At 44.4% G+C, this 25,155-nt stretch overlaps 4 annotated features.

Moving 5' to 3' along the window:
• Window positions 16,004-16,504: an enhancer, noted in NCBI's record as "H3K4me1 hESC enhancer chr20:50503748-50504248 (GRCh37/hg19 assembly coordinates)". NCBI's record gives its function as "activates a minimal SCP1, AML or CMV promoter by ChIP-STARR-seq in primed H9 embryonic stem cells {active_cell/tissue: H9 hESC(primed)}" and the evidence as "EXISTENCE:reporter gene assay evidence [ECO:0000049][PMID:30033119]".
• Window positions 16,505-17,005: an enhancer, noted in NCBI's record as "H3K4me1 hESC enhancer chr20:50504249-50504749 (GRCh37/hg19 assembly coordinates)". NCBI's record gives its function as "activates a minimal SCP1, AML or CMV promoter by ChIP-STARR-seq in primed H9 embryonic stem cells {active_cell/tissue: H9 hESC(primed)}" and the evidence as "EXISTENCE:reporter gene assay evidence [ECO:0000049][PMID:30033119]".
• Window positions 21,512-22,012: an enhancer, noted in NCBI's record as "H3K4me1 hESC enhancer chr20:50509256-50509756 (GRCh37/hg19 assembly coordinates)". NCBI's record gives its function as "activates a minimal SCP1, AML or CMV promoter by ChIP-STARR-seq in primed H9 embryonic stem cells {active_cell/tissue: H9 hESC(primed)}" and the evidence as "EXISTENCE:reporter gene assay evidence [ECO:0000049][PMID:30033119]".
• Window positions 22,013-22,513: an enhancer, noted in NCBI's record as "H3K4me1 hESC enhancer chr20:50509757-50510257 (GRCh37/hg19 assembly coordinates)". NCBI's record gives its function as "activates a minimal SCP1, AML or CMV promoter by ChIP-STARR-seq in primed H9 embryonic stem cells {active_cell/tissue: H9 hESC(primed)}" and the evidence as "EXISTENCE:reporter gene assay evidence [ECO:0000049][PMID:30033119]".

The raw sequence follows: 25,155 nt of genomic DNA on the forward strand, positions 1-25,155 counted from the left end.
AAAAATTCAGTTCCTTAGTCACATGGGCCCACTATTTCAAGGGTCCAACAGTTACTTTGGGCTAGTTGCTATTGTATTATATAATGCAGATTAAAAATATTTATACCAATGTGGAAAGTTCTGATGGACAGTACTGGATTAAAACCTTATATAGATATTATTCTTGTTCACCACCATGTGAGAAGGTTTTTACCATGGGAAGGAATTCTTGTTTGTTTTTTTTGTTTTTTTGTTTTTTTGTTTTTTAAATTGAGGTAGGGTCTTGCTCTGTTGCCCAGGTTGGAGTACAGTGGCACAATCACAGCTCACTTCAGCCTCGACCTCCAGGTCTCAAGTGATCCTCCCACCTCAGTCTCCCAAGTAGCTGGAACTACAGGTACCTGCCACCACACTCAGCTAATTTTTTTTATTTTTTGTAGAAATGGGATCTTACTATGTTGCCCAGGCTGGTATGGAACTCCTGGGCTCAAGTGATCCTCCTGCCTCCAGCCTCCCAAAGTGCTGGGATTACAGGTGTGAGCCACCATTCCTTGGGCCATTCTTGTATTTTAAGTACTCAGAGACATCCAGGAAAGGTAACCGAGTGGGTAACTTCAGCACTTCAGAGAGTGCCTAGTGTGTGATTCTAAGCTCATCACTCCAGGGACCCAGCACCCAATTCCAGCTGTGTCTTTCCTCCATTTAAATCACCCTCTGTGGATCCTATTAAGTATTCTCCCATTCTGGTCAAACTGGTTTATGAAACTACTATTTGAGAAGTCCAGTCTTGCAGGCCGATGGGACCCTGCCTTTGTGTGGCCGTAATAAGGTTATTTATGAGGGCTGGAGCCGATTCTCTTGATTCTTCGGGAAGATGAAAGGTTTGGTGGTAAAGGAAAGCAGAAGCTTGGGGAGCAGGTTTCTCCTTATAGCAATGACTCTCCAGATAGGATAAATCACCCAGGACCATTAAACCTTCAAGAAGAGTGCTCGTAAACCTCCGCTGGAAACTCACAAAGCATCTTCTCTCTTGGAGCAGCCTATGTGGAGAGGGACTCGCCTCTTTTTCCAAACCACCAGCCAGTCACAGATTAACCCTGCTGCCATCTCTGCCCAGGACACTGAAGCAGAAAATCACTTTCTTTTTTTTTTTGAGACAGAGTCTCACTCCGTCACCCAGGCTGGAGTGCAGTGGCGCGATCTTGGCTCACTGCAACCTCCACCTCCCTGGTTCAAGCGATTCTCCTGCCTCAGCCTCCCGAGTAGCTGGGATTACAGGCATCCGCCACCATGCCCAGCTAATTTTTTGTATTTTTAGTAGAGATGGGGTTTCACCATATTGGCCAGGATGGTCTCAATCTCTTGACCTCACGATCCGCCCACATTGGCCTCTCAAAGTGCTGGGATTACAGGCGTGAGCCACTGCACCCAGCCGAAAATCACTTTCAAAGTCATCCTTTCAGGTGGCCAACTGTCCCTGTTTGTCTGAGATGAAAGGGTTTCCTGGGACAAGAGATCAGGAAAGTCCCAAGCAAGTCTGGATGAACTGGTCACTCTATTTCCTCCGTACCTTGGGGGCAAGCAATGCCTGCGACTCAACAGGACAAAAACATTTGTTCATATTTAGCTCCCATTTATGAGGCTCTGCAATGTGTCAGGTGCTGGGCAAAGACAGTGCTTTACCTGACGTGTCTCGTTTCATCTTAACAACCAAATGAGCTTGGTGTTATTATTATCCCCATTTGACAGGTGAAGAAACCGAGGCTCAGAAAGCTAAAGTGACTTGTCCAAGGTCACACCTTAAATGGTGTCTGTGTCTCCATAGCTCATGCTCTGAACTGCTCCTCTAATTCTTCCTTATCTTTCTTTTTTTTTTTTTTTTTTTTGAGATGGAGTCTCGCTCTGTTGCCCAGGCTGGAGGGCAGTGGTGCGATCTTGGCTCACTGCAACTTCCACTTACGGGGTGCAAGCGATTCTTGTGCCTTAGCCTCCAGAGTAGCTGGGATTACAGGTGTGCACCACCACATTCGGCTAATTTTTGGATTTTTATTTGTAATTTTTTTTGAGTTGGAGTCTCACTCTATTGGCCAGGAGTACAGTGGCACAATCTTGGTTCACGGCAACCTCCATCTCCTGGGTTCAAGCGATCCTCCTGCCTTAGCCTCCTGAGCTTACCAGGCGCCCGCCACCACACCCGGCTAATTTTTGTATTTTTAGTAGAGATAGGGTTTCACCATGTTGGCCAGGCTGGTCTCAAACTCCTGACCTCAAGTGATCTGCCCGCCTCAGCCTCCCAAAGTGCTGGGATTACAGGCGTGAGCTACCGTGCCCAGCCTGTATTTTTAGTAGAGACGGAATTTCGCCGTATTGCCCAGGCTGGTCTCAAACTCCTGAACTCAAGCGATCCACCCGCCTTGGCCTCCCAAAGTGCTGGGATTACAGTGTGAGCCACTGCACCTGGCCTTCATCTTTCTTAATCTGCCTTGGATTTTTGGGGTTCCAGAAGCTTCCCACAAAAAGAGTCATTGGAGATACTTATATTGTTAACCAACGGGGTAGGAGAATGACTTTCAGCTGAACTTTATTTGCACGTTAAAAAGTCAAGTCTAATTTTCTAAAACTATCTGGACTCTTTCACTGGCAAATGCCGAGTTGGAAGGAAAGTCCATAAATCACTCACAGACCTACATTGGCCGTGGCTATATGCAAACCCAGTACTGCTGGTCTGGCCACCTGGGAGCACCAGGCATAGGATGGGGTGAGATTTCCCCACCAAATTCAGGGCATATCAGAGCTCAGAGTACCTGCACCCAAAGGGAAATACCCCAAACACTGGCTTCAGGAAAGTTCTCATTAGATAGACACAAGAAAGTTTTGCCCTAATCCTCAGTATTGGCTAACAGATCACTTTTATTGAGGAATTACTATGTGCCAGGCAATGCCTGTTTTCATCCACTTCTCATGTCCAATTATCTGCGAAATAGATAAGATTATTATCCCAGCCCAGAGATGAGGAAACTGAGGTGTGGAGAGCTGGCGAGATTGATCTAGACCAGTGGTTCTCAAGCAGGGGAGGGTTTGCCCTCCATGCACATTTGCCACTATCTGGACACATTTTTGATCATCACAACCTGGGATGGGGTTGCTGCTGGCATCTAGTGAATAGAGGCCAGGGATGCTGCTCCACATTCTACACTGCACAGAACGGCCTCCCTCTACCCCAGTAAAAGAAATTACATGGCCCCAAATGCCAATAGCTCTGAGGTTGAGAAACTCTTGTCTAAATCAAGAAAAGGGTGGCAACTCCTGGGGAACCCTTCACTCCAGAGTTTGAGGGGCTCACATGCCTAGCAAGGGGTAGAGCAGTGATTAGATCCCACTTGCTTTTACCTTCCTATGCCCTGGAGAAGGATTACTGAAAGGTCAGTTCAAGAGGGTATGAACTTGTTGTGTGATGCTAGAACAGTGCTGGGCACAAATAGGTGCCCAGTAAATATTTGTTGAATGAATGAATGAATACTAAGTATTAATACCATTTATTGAGGGCTTTCTGTCAATGAACACACCAAGTATATTGCCAGCATCATCTCATTTGATTCTTGGAGTAGACCCCAGAGGCAGGTACCACTCCCCACAGTCTTATTTTACAGAGTAAGAGACAGAGAGGGCTGGGGGCGGTGGCTCACGCCTGTAATCCCAGCACTTCGGGAGGCCAAGACGGGTGGATCACGAGGTCAGGAGACCAAGACCATCCTGGTTAACATGGTGAAATCCCTTCTCTACTAAAAATACAAAAAAGTTAGCTGGGCATGGTGGTGGGCACCTGTAGTCCCAGCTACTCCGGAGGCTGAGGCAGGAGAATGGTGTGAATCCGGGAGGCGGAGCTTGCGGTGAGCCGAGATCGTGCCACTGCACTCCAGCCTGGGTGATAGAGTAAGACTCCGTCTCAAAAAAAAAAAAAAAAAAAAGAGACAGAGAGAAGAGGTCTCATGCCAGAGTCATACAGCTTGGCCAGTGACTGAGGTTTTCCATTCAGGGTGGTCCAAGTTTAACTTAGAATTACATTGCCTCATACCAGAATCTCTGGAAACAAGAATAATTTCCAGGGCTTACATCATGTAGCAACTTTTTTTTTTTTTTTTTAGACAGAGTCTCAACTCTGTCTCCCAGGCTGGAGTGCAATCTCAGCTCACTGCAACCTCTTCCTCCCAGGTTCATGCCATTCTCCTACCTCCGCCTCCCAAGTAGCTGGGACTACAGGTGCCCACCACCATGTCCAGCTAATTTTTTTGTATTTTTTTAGTAGAGACAGGGTTTCACCGTGTTAGCCAGGATGGTCTCAGTCTCCTGACCTCATGATCTGCCCGCCTTGGCCTCCTAAAGTGCTGGGATTACAGGCATGAGCCACCGTGCCCGGCCCACATGTAGTAACTTTTTTCACTGTTCCAGGTTTTATAAATATATCCCCTTTTTCAGCACTTGCTCTCGCTTACCTTTTTTCTTTTGTAGGCAGGGTCTCCCTTTGTCACTCAGGCTGGAGTGCAGTGGTGCGATCATGGCTCAACCTCCTGGGTTCAAGTGATCCTCCCGCCTCAGGCTCCCAAGTAGCTGGGACTATATACGTGTGACACCACACCCAGCTAATTTTTTAATTTTTTGTACAGACAGGGTCTCACTATGTTGCCCTGGCTGGGTTCAAATTCCTGGGCTTAAGCTATCTCTGCCACCTCAGCCTCACAAAGTGCTGAGATTACAGGCATGAGCCACTGCACCCAGGCAGCCCCTTTCTAAAAAAATAAAATGGGCCGGGCGTGGTGGCTCACACCTGTAATCCCAGCACTTTGGGAGGCCGAGGAGGGTGGATCATGAGGTCAAGAGACCGAGACCATCCAGGCCAACATGGTGAAACCCCATCTCTACTAAAAATACAAAAATTAGCTGGGCGTGGTGGCGGGCGCCTGTAGTCCAGCTACTTCGGAGGCTGAGGCAGGAGAATCGCTTGAACCTGGGAGGCGGAGGCTGCAGTGAGCTAAGCTCATGCCACTGCACTCCAGCCTGGCGACAGAGTGAGACTCTGTCTCAAACAAACAAAAACGAGTTTTACACTATTCTATAAATAAAAGGGTTTCAGGGTTAGCCATGAAAGGCCCCAGTGACAAAGTTGTAATGTGATCAGAAATGAAAAGCTCAAAAAAAGATTTCAGTTGGTGATGAAACAAGGCAAGGATTATGAATCTCACAGGCGTTTCCTTTCTCCAGAAACTGAAGGCACCTTTGCCAGGAGAAAAAGGCAGTTTCCATGGCAGGGACCCAGCCTTGACTTCCCCAGGATCTGTCCACATGAACGTTGTAATGAGTCCACCCGAGATGGGGACTCTCCATTGTATTTACATTTTATGACATCTTTTTATATTTCACAGGAGAGGATTCTGAATAAAAATGAGCCCGGCTTTTAGGGCTGTTTTTTATTATCAGCATTTGGTAAAAAACATCCTTAATGAGGTGTTAAGAGTCATCCTGCATCCTATTGTGGAGGAGGCCTGGGAGCTCATAAACCCCTGAAAAGCCACAGGGTAATTTATAATCCTTGATGCCACCCCTTCCTGACACAAGCGCTTCAGAGGGAGCATCTTTAGTTCTCGGGCACTTCCTGCAATTTACACGCCCAAGCTGCTTCGACCACAATCTGAATTCAACCTTATTAAGTAAAGTTCAGCCCAGGATTCTTCTTGCCAAGCTGTTCACCTCTGAGAAACTCTGGCCAGCCTGCCTGAAATTAATTAGAGTTTCCGTTGAGTTTGGACTGAAGGTGTGGCTCTAGAAAGTGTTCACATTTCTCTCCTTACTGGTGAGGAATTTAACAGTTATGGTTCTGGGGAAAAACAATAACATAACAACAACAACAACAAAAAAAACCACTTTTGCTTCTCTGCAAGAAGAGGAGTTTCTTGATACTGTGATGTTTTACTCATAAGTTCATATCCTTTCTGAAATAGACTTCAATTAAGACTGAGGGTGTCCTAAGCCCCAGAATGATATACTACTTCATTGAGAAAAAAATACTGCCACTTATATAAGGGATCTAAAAGAGCCAGATTCATAGAATCAAAGTGTGGAATGGTGGTTGCCAGGGGGTTGTGGGAGAGGGCAATAGGGAATTACCAATCAGCCAATAATCAATGGGCATAAGGTTTCAGTTAAGCAACAGGAATAAGTTCTAGAGATCTGCTGTATGACATTTAACCTAGAGTCAACGACAGTGGATTATACACTGAAAAATTTGTTAAGAGGGCCAGCCTTGTATGGCTGGGAGCAGTGGCTCATGGCTGTAATCCCAGCACTTTGGGAGGCCAAGGCGGGCGCATCACCTGAGGTCAGGAGTTCGAGACCAGCCTAACCAACATGGAGAAACCCCGTCTCTACTAAAAATACAAAAAAATTAGCCAGGCGTGGTGGCGCATGCCTGTAATCCCAGCTACTCGGGAAGCTGAGGCAGGAGAATCGCTTGAACCCAGGAGGTGGAGGTTGTAGTGAGCCGAGATCGCGCCACTACACTCCAGCCTGGGCAACAAGAGCGAAACTCCGTCTCAAAAAAAAAAAAAAAAAAAAAAAAAAGAAGGGCCAGCCTTGGTGGGTCACACCTGTAATCCGAGCACTTTAAGAGCCCAAGGCGGAAGGATTCCTTGAGCCCAGGAGTTCGAGGTCAGCCTCGGCAATATAGTGAGACCCTGCCTCTATTTTTCATTTAAAAAAAACCCAAAATTTGTTAAAAGTGTATATCTCATGATAAGTGTTCCTCTCAATCAAGTAAAATAAAACGACCGCCACAAACCAGACTTTGTGATGGCGACAAATATCTCAGGTTTAATCTTGAAATCTGTAAATTGAAGAATAAAGAAAATAATTTAATCCTTTCCTTTATATCCTTTTTTGTTTGTTTGTTTGTTTTTGTTTGAGATGGAGTTTTGATCTTGTTGCCCAGGCTGGAGTGCCATGGTGCGATCTCAGCTCACTGCGACCTCCACCTCCCAGGTTCAAGCAATTCTCCTGCCTCAGCCTCCCCAGTAGCTGGGATTACAGGCATGTATCACCACACCCGGCTAATTTTGTATTTTTAGTAGAGACGGGGTTTCACCATGCTGGTCAGGCTGGTCTCGAACTCCTGACCTGAAGTGATCCACTCACCTTGGCCTCCCAAAGTGCAGGGATTATAGACATTAGCCACGGTGACTGGCCCTTTCCTTTATACTTTATATCCTTCTTATTTGGGGATCTCTTTTTTATTTTTTATTTTTTTAAGAAAAGTACATATGACATGGTATATATTGACCCTTCCTGACTTTATTCAATTAAATATTATAATTGACTATTAGATGGTTATTTCTTTATTGCTGTTAATTTTTTTTTTTTTTTGAGACAGTCTCTCTCTATTGCCCAGGCTGGAGTGCAGTGGCGCAATCTCGGCTCACTGCAAGCTCCGCCTCCCTGGTTCACACCATTCTCCTGCCTTAGCTTCCCGAGTAGTTGGGACTACAGGTGCCTGCCACCACGCCCGGCTAATTTTGGTATTTTTAGTAGAGACGGGGTTTCACCTTGTTAGCCAGGATGGTCTCGATCTCCTGACCTTGTGATCTGCCTGCTTCAGCCTCCCAAAGTGCTGGGATTACAGGCGTGAGCCACTGCACCTGGCCTATTGCTATTAAATTTTAACATCAGCATTTCACATAGTCCCTATTTGGCTTTCATAGTTCCTGTTGACTGAATATCATTTATATTTAACTTGAAAAATAGATATTTATATTTCACTTGTGTGGACATAGTTGAAAAAGTGTAGGAATTATAGATTTTATCATGCAACATTTTATGTTGTTTCCAGCCTCTGAACGAATAAATAATTTATATGTGCAATGTATATGTTTTGTTCCTAGGTCCTCTGGGGAGGCATTGTAGGGGAAAAACCCACAAAACCTGGTGTTGGAGGGTCAGGGTTCAAGTTCTGTTCTTAGCAATAATGTGATCTTGAGCCCATCAATCATTGTTTCTGACCCCACATGTCCTTATTAGTAAAGTGAAACTGATAATACATATGCCACTGCATTGTTAAATTACTATTATAATAATAATTATTATTATTTGAGACGGAGTCTCACTCTGCCACCTAGGCTGGAGTACAGTGGCGCAATCTTGCCTCACTGCAATCTCCACCTCCCGGGTTCAAGCAATTCTCCTGCCTTGAGTAGCTGGGATTATAGGTGCATGCAACCACGCCCAGGTAATTTTTGTATTTTTAGTAGAGACAGGGTTTCAGGGTTTCAGGGTTTCACCATGTTGGTCAGGCTGGTCTCGAACTTCTGACCTTGTGATCCGCCCGCCTCGGCCTCCCAAAGTGCTGGGATTACAGGCATGAGCCATCCCGCCCGGACTGTTAAATTAGTATTTATTTTCTTTTTCCTTTTTTTGAGACGGAGTCTCACTCTGTCGCCCAGGCTGGAGTGCAATGGCGCGATCTCGGTTCACTGCAACCTCCGCCTCCTGGGTTCAAGCAATTCTCCTGCCTCAGCCTCCCGAGTAGCTGGGACTACAGGTGCACACTGCCACACCTGGCTAATTTTTTTCTATTTTAGTAGAGACAGGGTTCACCATGTTGCCCAGGATGGTCTGGAATTCCTGAGCTGAGGCAATCCACCCTTCTCAGCCTCCCAAAGTGCTGGGATTACAGGTGTGAGCCACCGTGCCTGGCCCTTCTTTTTTTTTTTCTGAGACGAATTCTTGCTCTGTCACCCAAGCTAGAGTGCAGTGGCGGATCTTGGTTTACTGAAACCCCCGCCTCCCAGGTTCAAGCAATTCTCCAGCCTCAGCCTCCTGAGTAACTGGGATTACAGGCATGTGCCATCATGCCTAGCTAATTTTTGTATTTTTAGTAGAGACGGGGTTTTACCATGTTGGCCAGGCTGGTCTTGAACTCCTGACATTGTGATTTGCCCACCTCGGCCTCCCAAAGTGCTGGGATTACAGGCATGAGCCACCATGCCTGGCCTATTTATTTTCATTATAATTGACAGTTATTTAATTAAGTATAAACTTTTAGCTACGTGTTGTGAATGTGTGTTATGTCACTTGACTAACCTATAAAGTGTGAACAGTTATTAGCATCACAGGTGAGGTTCTTGAGCCTCAGAGAGGTTAAGTGACTTGCCCATGGTCACACAGCCTGAAAGTGGCAAACCTGGGATATGAACCTAGGAACATATGACTGCAAAAACAGTACCCCAAGTCATTCGACGTGAAGCTGCCTTTTGATGATGTAAGTGAGATTGACTGCGACTTGTAAAGCTGTCTGTAAATGCCTAGTTAAGAGAGATATGGCCAAGACATCAGAAATTTTGAGCAGAAGAAGGTTCTAGGAATCAACTAATTAAATAACGTGATTTTAGAATGATGAGGCCGAGAGTCTACCTTGGGTCAGAAACTAAGATAGAGATGTCAGATGAGAAGACAGATGCCTAGCTGCACCCTGGGCTCCCTGTAGTGCTGTGTTTAGGTTCTCAGACCCGGGAGTCAGAGCCTGGGCTCAATATTGAGCTCCGGTTCATACTAGCTGTGTACCTTGGACAAGATATGTAAATTCTCTATACCTTAGTTTCTGCATCTCTAAAATGGGATAGCTAAGAGTAATTACAGGCTGGGTGCAGTGGCTCATGCCTGTAATTCCAGCACTTTGAGAGGCCAAGATGGATGGATCACGCGAGGCCAGGAGTTTGAGACTAGCATGGCCAACATGGAGAAACCCCATCTCTACTAAAAATACAAAAATTAGCCGGGCTGGTGGTGCATGTCTGTGATTCCAGCTACTTGGGAGCCTGAGGCAGAAGAATTGCTTGAACCTAGGAGGCAGAGGTTGCAGTGAGCTGAGATTGCACTGCTGTACGCAATCCTGGGTGACAGAGCAAGACTCTGTCTTCGGGAAAAAAAAAAAAAGTGTAATTATAGAAAGATTAAACAAGTTTAAAATGTGTGACATGCTTAAAATAGTGGTAATTTATAAATGTATCATTATTCTGGCCACCACTGATCGTCTTTAAAACTGCACCATTCCTATTTGATGAGCTGAACATACAAAAACATCCATGGATACCATTATCATCTTTATCTCTTGCGAAACAGCAAATGATGAATAAACCCGTACAATTCATTTTTCTTTTTTTCTTTTTTTTTTGAGATGGAGTCTCACTCCGTCACCCAGGCTGCAGTGCAGTGGCGCGATCTCAGCTCACTGCAACCTCCGCCTCCCGGGTTCAAGCAATTCTCCTGCCTCAGCCTCCTGAGTAGCTGGTACCACAGGTGTGCACCACCATGCTCGGCTAATTTTTGTATTTTTAGTAGCGATGGGGTTTCACCATGTTGGCCAGGATGGTCTTGATCTCCTGACCTTCTGGTCCGCCCGCCTTGGCCTCCCAAAGTGCAGGGATTCCAAGTGTGAGCCACCATGCCCGGCCTGTACAATTCATTTTTCTAAGCCACTAATCTGATCAATTATTTCACTGCCTTGATTAACACTTTTCCATGAAGTATTTACAAGTCACATATCTGATAAGTATCCAAAATATGAAAACAACTCTCACCACTTGACAATTGTATTCATTGTTTTTAAGACAAAAAATCCAATTAAAACACGGGGGAAAAAATGGAATAGACATTTCCCCAAAGTACATATACAAATGGCCAAAATGTACATGAAAAGATGCTGAGGATCATTAGTCATTAGCGAAATGCAAATCATAACTGCAATGTGATGCCACCTGAGACCCTGTAGGGTGGCTATAATAAAAAATATGGAGAGTAACAAGTGTTGGCAAAGATGGAGAGAAATTGGAACTCTCATACATTGTTGGTGGGAGTATAAGTGGTACAGCTGCTTTTGAAAAATCTGGTAGTTTCTTAAAATATTAAACATAATTTTCATTTGATCCAGAAGTTCTACTCCCAGGTATATATTTGAGAGAATTAAAAACATATGTCTACAAAGAAACTGTTTTTTTTTGTTTGTTTGTTTGTTTTGTTTTTTTTTTTAGACAGGGTCTTGCTCTGTTGCTCAGGCTGAAAAACAGTGGTGTGATCTTGGTTCACTGCAGCCTCTTCCTCCAGGGTTCACACAATTCTCGTGCCCCAGCCTCCCAAATAGCTGGGATTACAGGCATGTGCCACCATACACGGCTAATTTTTTTTTTTTTTTTTTTTTTTTTTTGCATTTTTAGTGGACATGGGGTTTCACCATGTTGGCCTGGCTGGTCTGAGACTCCTGGCCTCAAGAGGTCTACCCACCTTGGCCTCCCAAAGTGCTGGGAGCCACTGTGCCTGGCCCTCTACACAGAAATGTGTATACAAATGTTTATAGCAGCATTATTCCTAAACTCCAAAAAGTAGAAATAACGTAAATGTCCATTGACTGATGAACTGATAAACAAAATATGCTCTACCTATACAACGGAATATTATTCAGCTGTAAAAAGGGAAGAAGTAGATCACTGGCACAGAATAGAGAGCCCAGAAATAAACCTTCAGGTATATGGGCCAATGATCTTTGACAAGGGTGCCAAAACTACACAAGGGGAAAAGGATTGTCTCTTCAACAAATGGTGTTGGGAAAATTGGATATCTACACAAAAAGAACTAAAGACATACCCTTTTCTTCTTGTGCCATATACAGAAATTAATTCAAAATGGATTAGGAACCAGGGCTTTGTGTGGTGTCTCACGCCTGTAATCCCCTCACTGTGGGAGACCCAGGCAGGAGGATTGCTTGAGGCCAGGAGTTTGAGGCCAGTCTGAGCAACACAGCAAGACCACATGTCTACAAAAATAATAATTGTAAAAAAGATTAAAAACCTAAACATAAGACCTGAGATTATAAAACTTCTAGAAGGAAATATACTGGGGCGGGGCGGAGTGGCTCATGGCTATAATCCCAGCACTTTGGGAGGCCAAGGAAGGCGGATCACTGGAGGTCAGGAGTTCAAGACCAGCCTGGCCAACATGGTGAAACCCCGTCTCCACTAAAAATACAAAAATTAGCTGGGCATGGTGGTGGGTGCCTGTAATCCCAGGTACTCAGGAGGCTGAAGCAGGTAGAATTGCTTGAGCCTGGGAGGCAGAGGTTGCAGTGAGCCGAGATCCTGCCACTGCACTCCGGCCTGGGCAACAAGAGCGAAACTCTGTCTCAAAAAACAAAACAAAACAACAAAACAACACAAAAACAGAAAACAAATATTGGCAAGAAATTGGTACCCTTAGATACTGTTGGTGGGAGTGAAAAATGGTGTAGCCACCATGGAAAACAGTATAGTGGTTCCTCAAAAAATTTAAAATAAATGGCTGGGCGCAGTGGCTCACACCTGTAATCTCAACACTTTGGGACACTGAGACGGGCAGATCACCTGAGGTCAGGAGTTTGAGCCTGGACAACATGGTGAAACCCCGTATCTACTAAAAATACAAAAATTAGCCAGAAATGGTGGTGCGCGCCTGTAATCCCAGCTACTCTGGAGACTGAGGCAGGAGAATTGTTTGAACCCGGGAGTTTACAGTGAGCTGAGATCGCACCACTGCAACCCCAGCTTGGGCGACAGAGCAAAACTTCATCTCAAAATAATTAATTATTAAATTAATTAATGACCATAAAAAACTATCACCTGATTCGGCAATCCCACTTCTGGGTATATATCCAAAAGAATTGAAAACAAGATCTCAGAGAGAGATTTGCAACATGTTCATTGCGGCACTATTGACAATAGTCAAGATGTAGAAGCAACCAAAATGCCCACTGGATTAATGGATAAAGAAAATGTGGGCCAGGTGCGGGGGCTCGCACCTGTAATCCCAGCACTTTGGGAGGCTGAGGCAGGCAGATCACTTGAGGTCAGGAGTTTGAGACCAGCCTGGCCAACATGGTGAAATGCCGCCTCCATTAAAAATACAAAAATTAGCCCGGCATGGTGGCGTGCGCCTGTGGTCCCAGCTACTCAGGAAGCTAAGGCAGGAGAATACGATGAACCCAGGAGGCGGAAGTTGCAGTGAGCTGAGATCGCGCCACTGCACTCCAGCCTGGGTGACACAGCAAGACTTCGTCTCAAAAAATAAATAAAAATAAAATAATAAATAAATACACCCAGAAAAGGCACTTGTTTATAGAATGAGAGCTGCAATTAGAAGGTAGCGTGTTTTCTTGTCCATGTTGGGCACTGCTCTGTGCACATCTGCAAACGACCTTAAGAGCACCAGGAGCACTAATTTGGGGGTTACAAATAAATTTCAGTGAGTAGGTGAATTTGAAAATATGCAGGCCTCAATTAATGAGGATCACTGTCTTTTGAAGACCATTATTGCATAAGTGCATTTGGAAAAGCCAGCCTCATTCTGATGAAAAACCGTGCGAGTATTGCTGGAGAAATGTTAGAGTCGAAATTTTTCCTGATTTGCAGCTGAGAGTCTCCTAACTGATCCAGAATCCCAGATTTCACCAAGAATCATGAATGAAAGGGAGTGTTTTCCATAGCATTTGGGAGACAGAGATTTCACACCCCCAAGATGAGTCACAACTGATTATTGAGGGATTCTCTGTGGCTAGGATATTTCAGCCAAGAGTTGAAGAATGCAGAAGTCCTTCTTCCTCCGTACAGGAGAGCCCATCTTATTATTTCCCTCTCTCTTGTTCCTAAGACATGGCTGTTTACTCTTTTATTTTTGAGACACAGTTTCACTCTGTCGCACAGGCTGGAGTGCAGTGGCATGATCTTGGCTCACTGCAATCTCCGCTTCCCGGGTTCAAGTCATTCTGCCATTCTCATGCCTCAGCCTCCTGAGTGACTAGGAATTACAGGTGTACGCCACCACGCCTGGCTAAGTTTTGTATTTTTAGTAGATACGGAGTTTCACCATGTTGGCCAGGCTGGTTTTGAACTCCTGACCTCAAGTAATCTGCCTGCTTTGGCCTCCCAAAGTGCTAGGATTACAGGCGTGAGCCATCACACCTGGCTGGTTTCGCTGTTTAAAAACCCATTCTGGGCCAGGCGCGGTGGCTCACGCCTGTAATCCAAGCACTTTGGGAGGCCGAGGCGGGCGGATCATCTGAGGTCAGGAGTTCGAGACCAGCCTGACCAACATGGAGAAACCCTGTCTCTACTAAAAATACAAAATTAGCCGGGCGTGGTGAGGCATGCCTGTAATCCCAGCTACTCAGGAAGGCTGAGGCAGGAGAATTGCTTGAACCCAGGAGGCGGAGGCCAGGAGGCAGAGGTTGCGGTGAGTCGAGATCACGCCACCGCACTCCAGTCTGGGCAACAAGAGTGAAACTCGGTCTCAAGGGAAAAAAAAAAAAAAGAATCTGCTGGATGCGGTGGCTCACACCTGTAATCCCAGCACTTTGGGAGGCTGAGTTGGGTGGATCATGAGGTCAGGAGTTTGAGACCAGCCTGGCCAGCATGGTGAAACCCCGTCTCTACTAAAAATACAAAAAATTAGCTGGGCATAGTGGCACACGCCTGTAGTCCCAGCTACTCGGGAGGCTGAGGCAGGACAATTGCTGGAACCCAGCAGGTGGAAGTTGCAGTGAGCCGAGATCGCGCCACTGCACTCCAGCCTGGGTGACAGACTGAGCATCTGTCTCAAAAAAAAAAAAAAAAAAAAAAAACCCCAACAAAAACCAATTCTAACATGCTTTTGGTTCCAGAGCGCTCTGGAAAACTCAAATAAGTCACTATAGTTAATATAATAGTAGATCCAGTTTCCATTTGGCTGCCTGGGTTCTAATCTGAGCTCTATTCTAGCTGTGCAATGTTGAACCAGCTTATGTGCCTCAGTTTCCCTTGTCTGTAACAATGTAAAATTTTTGCAGTAGATGTAAAAATCATTGTGAAGATTGGTGGGCTTTTTGAGGAAGATGCAGTTACAGGTACTGCGAAGCGGTGGTCTGCCTGCTCCTGATCCTGCCTCACCGCTGTGGGCTCTCAAGGAACAAGTGGGTCAGGAAGCCACACGCTGCAGCCATGGCTTTTATCTGTTTATTGATTTTTAGAGCTGGGGGTCTCACTGTGTTGCCCAAGATGGTCTGAAACTCTTGGGCTCAAGCGATCCTCCTGCCTTGGCCGCCTGAATTGCTGGGACTACAGGGGTGAGACACTGTGCTCAGCTCAAAATGTATTAAGAGCAGGCATTGTGGACCTCGTGAGGCAATTCACATTGCCATTTTAAGCTACATATTTAAATCTAAGCTGTCCACTAGGCTTTGGAGAGGCATTTCCTGAATGTCTGTTCTAAAGGAGGAACTCTTCCAACCCTCTTGTTCTGTGGCAGATAACCCTGATCATGACTTGCAATTACTTTATTTCAATTTATATTTTGGTTTGTTCTCATCACTAGAAATGAAAGCCTCATAAAAACAGGGACTTTATTGCTCCTGTTCATCTATATATCCCCAGGACAGTGCCAGGCACATAGTAGATGCTCAATAAGTATGTGTTGACTGAATAAACGAATGAATAACAGAATTTGGTGTCTGACTCCCAAGCCCTTGTACTTAACACAAGGCTGTGCTTCTTCTCACACCCTTCTTTGTGTGGTAGTGGGTTTGGTCATGACTTAGAGCAGCATTGTCCAATATGGTAGCCACTAGCCACATGTGGCAATTTAAATTTAACTTTAAAGTAGTGAAAGTTAAATAAAGTTAAAAACCCAGCTCCCCAGGCATGCTAGTATATTTCCAGTGCTCAGTACCTACATGTGACAAATGGCTAGTGGAGAGTTCCCATATAGAACATTTCAATTGTCACAGAAAGTTCCATTAACGGAGCTGATTGAGATCAGTGGTTCTCAACTGGAGAAGATTTTGCCTCCCAAGGGGCATTTGGCAATGTCTGGAAACCTTTCTAGTTATCACAGCTTGGAAGATGGACCTGACATCTAGTGGGTAGAGGCCAGGGATGCTGCTATACATGCTACAATACACAGGACAGCTTCACGCTAGAGAAGTATTTGGCCCAAAATGTCAGCAGTACTAAGGCTGAGAAACATGGTTTACAGGAAGGCACTGGGGTGACAGTTTTCTCTGTATGACCAGAATGCTAAATTCCTCAGGATCTGGATGGGTTAATTTGCAATTAAAAGCCTGATAAGGACTCTTCAGTGTATGTGGCATGGTGTCTAGTTTCCTGGCTTGAATTCCTGGAATTCCTCCTAATATTTTGAATAGGATATTAAAATCCAGAAATCATTGCCCAGCTGGGTTTTCAAGTGCCCACACTTCCCTGTGAGACTCATTCAACGGGATTCACAACACTCAGACCAAAAGGCATTTCTAAGGCTAGATTGTTCTAGATCAAGGCTCTGTAAGACACAGTCCCGGCCAAGCCTGCCCGTGAACAGAATGGCTTTTATATATTTCTTTAATTGGATGAGAAACAATCAAAAGAAGGCCAGATGAGGTGGCTCATGCCTGTAATCCCAGAACTTTGGGAGGCCAAGGCAGGCGGATCACCTGAGGTCAGGGGTTCGAGCGAGACCAGCCTGGCCAACATGGCGAAAACCCATCTCTACTAAAAATAACAAAAATTAGCCGGGCATGGTGGTGCACACTGTAGTCCCAACTACTCAGGAGGCTGAGGCAGGAGAATTGTTTGAACCCGGGAGGCGGAGGTTGCAGTGAGCTAAGATCGCACCACTGCACTCCAGCCAGGGTGATGGGGTGAGACTCGGTCTCAAAAAAAAAAAAAAGAAACAATTAAAAGAAGAATATTTTATGACACATGAAAATTATATAAAATTCAAATTTCAGTGTCCACAAAGAAAACTTCTTTGGAACAGTCACCACCATAATTTATATAAAAGTATTGCCCAGGGCTGCTTTCGTGTTGTTGAGTGGTCCAGCCACAGAAGCCACAGGGTCCGCAAAGCTGAAAATATTCACCACCTGCCCTTTTACAGAAAGACTTTGCTAATTCCTGCTCTAGATACTAAAGACCTTACTGGATTTTTTCTTTCCTTCCCTCCCCCTACCCATTTGTTCTTTTATTTTCTTAAGATCAAAATTATCCTGATAATTTGCAGGTGTAGACACAGAGCAAATGACCAAATGGACTTTCTTCGGGAAGCCGAGGGCGGAGGGGATTAGCTTCCATGCAGGGGCGTTCATGTGAAAGATTCCTCTTAGATGAATTTAGGGAACAAAGACCCCGTGGTCAATGATTTCTGTGGGTCTGAAAGTAAAAGACTGGCTGAGTTCTTTTGTCAGTTTTGCAGCACAGATCATACAGTTACTGAATACTCCCCTCCACGGTAGTATTCTTTTAACGCTTCACTCCATGACCTCACAAAAATAATTGCTGGGAAGCAAATTTACTTCGCCCTCTGCCTTTATTTGCTGACCAAGGGGCTCAGCCGATAGCCGTATTGTTGATGGAAATGCAAAAGGGGGTGGAGGGAAGGAGAAAGAATACAATTTGGCCAGGGAAGATGGATATATTGAAAGGATTCGAGGATTTGTCCTTGCTTTATAATTGGAGTCAGGATTTTCCTTCAAGTTACCCTGCACAGACTGGAAGGAAACCTCTCCAGCCTCCTCCACCCCCATGGCCTGTTAAACTCTTTCTCAACAAATTGAAATCTGGCTTTTAAATCCTTGTCATTTTTATGATTATATGATTATAGCGAACATTACAACTTGTCCAGTGAATGGACTTTAAAAAAAATTTTTTTTTTTTTTTTTTGTAGTGAGCATCAGGCTATGTTGACCAGGCTGGTCTTGAACTCCTGGTCTCAAGCAATCCTCTTGCCTTGGTCTCACTTTTTCAAATTCTGAGAATGTCTTTATTCAGAAAGAAAGTAAAAACTGATTAAAAATGATTTGTATGCATTGGGACCAGTTGGGATTTGATTTTTTTTTCTCTCTAAGTCTACAGGAGTTTTCACCGATGGCTTTCAATTCTTTGGAATTTCTGGAAATGGAAGCTTGCATCTTGGAAGCAAACCTACAAACAACCTTATATTGTCCCATACCCTCATTTTAGAAAACAGACCACTCTGATTACTGTGGGGATTACCTGGAGTGATCTGGGATTCCCTTGGCAGGAACAAAGTGGAAAGATTTTCCGGCCCTTTAATTTGTAAAACGAAAACCTGTGTTGGCTGCTACTGGTAGAAAAATAAAAAATTAATACACCCAAAGTAAAAGTTAGCAAGGATAACTGCCAGGCCAGACACAGTTTGTTATAAGCCCCGCAATGTGCAATATTGAAAGTGGTTTCCTTCCCCTAGTACTTAGGCATCCAATCAGTCAAACCATCTGATAACTGCTTATCTCCTCTAATGCGACTGAGATGTGTTTGATGACTCTTTGCATTTCAATCGTAAAGCTCACCTTAGGTAAGCACCTTGAGGAGAAAAAAGAAATTCACAAGTCTCAGCTTTTGCATTCATGGAATTTTCTTTTCACAATGGAAGGAAAGTTAAGCTGGTGCCCGTTAGGGGGAGGGGTGCAGAGGTGGTTGAAGATCTTTGAAAGGGAGGGGCGCAGTGTTCAGTTTGTGTGTAGTGCACACACACATACACACACATACACAAAGGTAAAACACTTCATTTGGGTTAAATGGTTGAGAAACAATCAAAAGAAGAATATTTTATGATGCATAAAAAGATATGAAATTCCCATTTCAGTGTCCATTAAGAAAGCTTTATTGGAATGTAGCTTCTTGTCTCAGGAGCCAAAATAGTAAAGCAAAGCAAAGCAATCCCGAGAGAGGGGGAAGATGAAAGATGAACGGGCCACTCTATGCTTCATTTTTAGCTACCTGAGGACACAGGAAAAATAGAAAATGTGTATAAGGAAAGATTTCCAGGATTTTGGTAATCATAACTTGGCATGTCTGACTCCCTGCACCCACAGTGCTTTTTATAATCCTCTACCCAGCAATCTTCTGTGAAATGGGGAAGAAGCGGGGCACCTCTCTCATAGGAGTAAAAGGTTGATAGATAGGCACGTGTTTATTCTAGCCTGGCACACAGTACATGCTCAGAAAATCTTAGCTGTTATTCTTATCGGGGTGGTTATTGTTTTGTTTTGTTTTGAGATGGCGTCTCGCTCTGTTGCCCAGGCTGGAGTGCAAGGCATGATCTCAGCTCACTGCAACCTCCGCCTCCCGGGTTCAAGCGATTCTCCCGCCTCAACCACCCGAGTAGCTGGGACTACAGGCGCCCGCCACCACGCCCGGCTAATTTTTATACTTTTAATAGAGACAGGGTTTCACCATGTTGGCCAGGATGGTCTCGGTCTCGTGACCTTGTGATCCACCAGCCTCGGCCTCCCAAAGTGCTGGGATTACAGGGGTAAGCCACCGTGCCCGGCCAGGGGGGTGGTTATTGTTAACAGCAGTTGCTCTTGTACTTTTCCATCTCCTATTGTTGGAGAAGTATTAGATTGGTGCAAAAGTAATTGTAGTTTCTGCCTTACTTTATTTTTATTTTTATTTTTTTATTTTTTATTTTTGAGATGGAGTCTTGCTCTGTCACCCAGGCTGGAGTGCGGTGGTGTGATTTCGGCTCACTACAACCTCCGCATCCTGGGTTCAAGAGATCCTCCTGCCTCAGTCTCCCCAGTAGCTGGGATTACAGGCGCTGCAACTTCTGCCTCCTGGGTTCAAGAGATCCTCCTGCCTCAGTCTCCCCAGTAGCTGGGATTACAGGCGCTGCAACTTCTGCCTCCTGGGTTCAAGAGATCCTCCTGCCTCAGTCTCCCCAGTAGCTGGGATTACAGGCACTACAACCAAGGCTGGCTAATTTTTGTATTTTTAGTAGAGACAGGATTTCACCACGTTGGCCAGGCTGGTCTCGAATTCCTGACCTCAGGTGATCCACCCGCCTCGGCCTCATGGAGTGCTGGGATTACAGGTGTGAGCCACTGTCCCCGACCACTTTTTTGCCTTACTTTTAATGGCAATTTATAGTTGGTTGGTGCAAAAGTAATTTCTGCAATTACTTAGTATAACTTCAACTTGGTTATAACTTGGTATAACTTCATTTGGGAGCAGTTTGGCAATATTCGCCAAACTTTAAACATACACTTTCACCCAGCAACTCAGTTTATAGGAGTTCTTCCTATGGATCAATTCCCTCTTCATATGCCAATCAGAATTCATATTTTTGTTTTGAATTCCAAACCACGTGCATGTATTATTGTTTTAGTTTTGTGTTATCAGGATATACATATTTAGGATTATGTCACTTGGTGAATTGACTCCATTATCATTTTGAAATGTCCCATTTTTTCCCTGGAAATATTTCTCAAATTGAAATCTATTTTATCTGAAATTAATGCAGCCAATCCACTTTATTAGGCTTTGTGTTTGCATGGAGTATCTTTTTCAATCCCTTACTTCTAATCTACCTGGTCTTTATATTTAAAGTGGGGTTTCAGGCTGGGTGCGATGGCTCATGCCTATAATTCCACAACTTTGGGAAGCTGAAGCAGGCAGATCACGTGAGGTCAGGAGTTCGAGACCAGCCTGGCCAACACGGTGAAACCCCTTCTCTGCTAAAAACACAAAAATTAGCTGGGCATGCTGGCGCACGCCTGTAATCCCAGCTACTTGGAAGGCTGAGGCAGGACAATCACTTGAACCCAAGAGGCAGAGGTTGCAGTGAACTGAGACTGTGCCACTGCACTCCAGCCTAAGTAACACACACCTAAGGTGGTGTGAGACTCCACCTCAAAAAAATAATAAATAAGAAATAAAGCAGAGTTTCTTAGAGACAGCATATGGTTGGGTCTTGCTCTCTTACAAAACCAACAACTTCTGACTTCAATTGGAATATTTAGATCATTTACCCTTATAGGAATTTTTTATATGGTTGAACTTAAATTTACCATCTTGCTCTTTATTTTTTATTGTCCTATTTGTAGTCTATTCTTTTTCCTTCTTTTTGCCTGGCTCCCTTTGGAATGAGTTATTTTTTAGGATTCCATTTTATTTCCATGACTGGTTTATTAGCTATATCTTGTTTTTTTTTTTTTGGTTGCTCTAAGGTATAAAGTATGCATCTTCAGCTTATCACAATGTACCATCAAATGATAACAGTTCACATATAATATAAAAATCTTGTAGCAATATACTTCCCTCTCCCCATGTCTTTTGCACTGTATTTGTCATAGATTTTATTACTACTTATGTTATAAACTCTGAAATATTTGTTTTTTTTTTCTTGCTTTAGAGTCAATTGTCTTTTTTTTTTTTTTTTTTGAGATGGAGTCTCGCTCTGTCTCCCAGGCTGGAGAGCAGTGGCGTGATCTCGGCTCACTGCATCCTCAGCCTCCTGGTTCAAGCGATTCTTCTGCCTCAGCCTCCTGAGTAGCTGGGACTACAGGCATGTGCCACCACGCCCAGCTAATTTTTGTATTTTTAGTAGAGACGGGGTTTCACCATGTTGGCCTGGCTGGTCTTGAACTCCTGACCTCGTGATCCACCTGCCTCAGCCTCACAAAGTGCTGGGATTACAGGCATGAGCCATTGCGCCCAGCCAATTCTCTTCTTCATAAATAAAATTTTAATTTTAGAACAGTTTTAGGTTTACAGAAAAATTGAAAAGATTGTACTAAGAGTTACCATATACCCTAAACACAGTTTTCCCTGTTATTAACATCTTACATTAGCATGGCACATTTGTTTTAATCAGTTAAACTATTAGCCAAACATTATTATTTTATTATTATTATTATTTTTGAGACGGAGTCTTGCTCTGTCACCCAGGCTGGAGTGCAGTGGTGCAATTCTGGCTCACTGCAACCTCCACCTCCAAGGTTCAATTGATTCTCCTGCTTCAGCCTCCTCATTAGCTGGGACTACAGGCGCCCACCACCACACCCGGCTAATTTTGTGTATTTTTAGTAGAGACAAGGTTTCACCATGTTGGCCAGGCTGGTCTCAAACTTCTGACCTCAAGTGATTCACTCGCCTTGGCCTTGCAAAGTACTGGGATTACAGGTGTGAGCCACTGCGCCCAGCCAATTTTTGTATTTTTAGTAGAGATGGGGTTTTACCATGTTGGCCAGGCTGGTCTTGAACTCCTGACCTCAAGTGATTCACCCAGCTTGGCCCCCCAAAGTGCTGGGATTACAGGCATGAGCCACCTCACCCGGCCAATTTTTGTATTTTTAGTAGAGATGGGGTTTTACCATGTTGGCCATGAGTCAGTCTCAAACTCCTGACTTCAGGTGATCCACCCACCTTGGCCTCTCAAAGTGCTGGGATTACAGGTGTGAGCCACTGCGCCCGGCCAGCCATACATTATTGTTAATTCAATTGCATACTGTATTCAGGTTTCCTTGGTTTTTACCTAATGTCCTTTTACTGCGTTAGGATCCTATCTAAACCACCACATTACATTTAGTTCTAATGTCTCTTTAGGTTACACTTAGCTGTCATAGTTTCTTAGACTACCCTTGTTTTGAAAACCTCGACAGTTTTGAGGAGCTTTGGGCAAATATGCTGTAGAATGTCCCTCAATTGAATGGCTTGAACCCGGGAGGCGGAGGTTGCATTGAGCTGAAATCCTGCCATTCACTCCAGCCTGAGCGACAGAGTGAGATTCTGTCTCAAAAAAAAAAAAAAAAAAGAATGTCCCTCAATTTGGATTTATTTGTTGTTAAATGTTTGTGGAAGGAAAACCACAGAGGTAAAGCCATTCTCATCACATTAGATCAAAGGTACATTCTATCAACACGACTTATCATTGTTGATGTTAACTTGGATCTCCTGGCTGAGCTAGTATTTGTTTACTGTAAAGAAAATCTTTAGCTCTGTGTTTATGAGCTCATGTCTACCTTCAGAACCAAAATTGCAGAAACGGAAAAGTAGTTTGCCAAAATCCTCAAGAACCATATACTTCGGATAACGATAAAATTTAGAGTTATTCTGGCACAGGTACCTCTCCAAGTCACCCTCACTCTCCTCACCAGTTCCATACTACCTTGCTCCTCCAGCCAACTTGGTCATCAGAAAGCACTTATTTATTTATTCATTTGTTTAGGGTCTGTGACCTTGCAATGACACATTCTCTATGTCTCTGCATCAGGCTTCTCTTCAACTCCCTGAGCTTCAGATACTTCCTCTTACCTCCTCCGTCCTTCCTGAGTGCTGGGATGATGGGTGTTGGAAAAGGACTTTGAAAGCCGTATATACAGTACTATACAAAAATGAGTCATCGTTATAAATGTAAGCTCTGCTGTCGCCTGCCATCTCTCCGTATCTCCCTTCCTCTCCCCTCCACGCTCTTGCTAGAATGTAGAATATAGAGATCCAATGGTACTTCCTCCCAATATGTGTCTTCAAACTCAGAGCTCTAGTCAGTGGGTCCCAACTTTTTTGGCACCAGGGACTGGTTTTGTGTAAGACAATTTTTCCATGGATGGGATGGGTTGGGGGAAATGGTTTTGGAATGAAACTGTTCCACCTCAGATCATCAGGCATTAAATTCTCATAAGAAGCGTGCAACCTAGATCCCTCCCATCCGCAGTTCAGAATAGGGTTCCCGCTCCTATGAGAATCTAATGCCTAGAGAGATCTGACAGGAGGTGGAGCCCCGGCGGCAACGCTCGCCCACCTGCCACTCCCTTCCTGCCCTGTGGCCTGGTTCCTAACAGGTCATAGCCCAGTACCTGTCCACGGCCTGGGGGTTGGGGGCCCCTGCTCTAGCCCATAAGACTAAGCCCTTTGTATGGTCTAAATATTTCCTCCAAAATTCATGTGTTGAAACTTAATGGCCAGAGTGACAGTATTAAGAGGTGGGGCCTTTGGAGGTAATTAAGTCATGAGATTAGAGCCCTTGTAGAGGGGATTTGGCCCCTTATAAAAGGGCCTGCTGGGTGCAGTGGCTCACACCTATAATCCCAGCACTTTAGAAGGTTTAGGAGGGAGGATCACTTGAGCCTAGAAGTTTGAGACCAGACTGGGTTACATAGTGAGACTCTGTCTCTACAAAACACTTAAAAATTAGCTAGGTGTGGTGGTGCATTCCCACAGTCCCAGCTACTCGGGAGGTTGAGGTGAGAGGATTGCTTGAGCTCCGGAGGTAGAGGCTGCAGTGAGCTGTGATCGCACCACTGCACCTGGCACCAACATTTAATTTTTAAAAAGTATTCATTTAGTATGAATTTTAGACTTAAGAAGAGCTGCAAAAATGGTACAGAGTCCTCTTGTATCCTCACCTTCCTTCTTCTATTGCTAACAGTCTGCATACTTATAGAGTACAATGACCAAGAACAGAAAATTTCAACACTGGTACATTATTATCATTACTACTACTACTACAGACCTCATTTAAATTTCATTGCTGCTCTCCTCAATGTCTCTTTTGTGTTCCATGATCCCTCCCAGGGTCCCACATTGCATGTGACTGTTCTTTGTCTTTAGTGTCTTCCAGCCTGTGCCAGTTTTCTTTCCTTGTGGGGTTTGTTTTTTTTTTTTTTTTTTTTTTTTGAGACAGAGTCTTGCTCTGTCTCCCAGGCTGGAGTACAGTAGCACTATCTAAGCTCACTGCAACCTCTGCCTCCAAGGTTCAAGCGACTCTTATGCCTCAGCCTCCCGAGTAGGTGGAATTACAGGCACCCACCACCACACCCGGCTAATTTTTGTATTTTTAGTAGAGACCAGGTTTCACCATGTTGGCCAGGCTGGTCTTGAACACCTGACCTCAAGCGATCCACCCACCTTGGCCTCCCAAAGTTCTGGGATTACAGGCATGAGCCATCACACCCAGCCAAGAATTATCTTTCAAAACAATTTATTGATATATTTGGTACATGTAACCCTCCACTTTTTTTTTTTTTTTTTGAGATAGGGTCCTGCTATGCTGCCTAGGCTGGAGTGCAGTGGCTATTCACATAGTGCATTACGGCCTTGAACTCCTAGACTCAAGCAATCCTCCTCTCTCAGCCTCCTGAGTAGCCGGGACTAGAGGAATGTGCTACCATGCCCAGCTGGGACTTCGTTTTGAAGCCAATTTTTTTAATTATATGTAATTTTTTACTTTCTTTATATTTCATTCTTTATTTTTTATTTTTTGACACAGAGTCTTGCTCTGTCACCCAGGCTTTGCCTCAGTATCCCTAGTGACTGAGATTACAGGTGTGTGCCACTA

Source organism: Homo sapiens, chromosome 20, assembly GCF_000001405.40.
Source record: "Homo sapiens chromosome 20, GRCh38.p14 Primary Assembly".
In the NCBI taxonomy this organism is placed as follows: domain Eukaryota; kingdom Metazoa; phylum Chordata; class Mammalia; order Primates; family Hominidae; genus Homo; species Homo sapiens.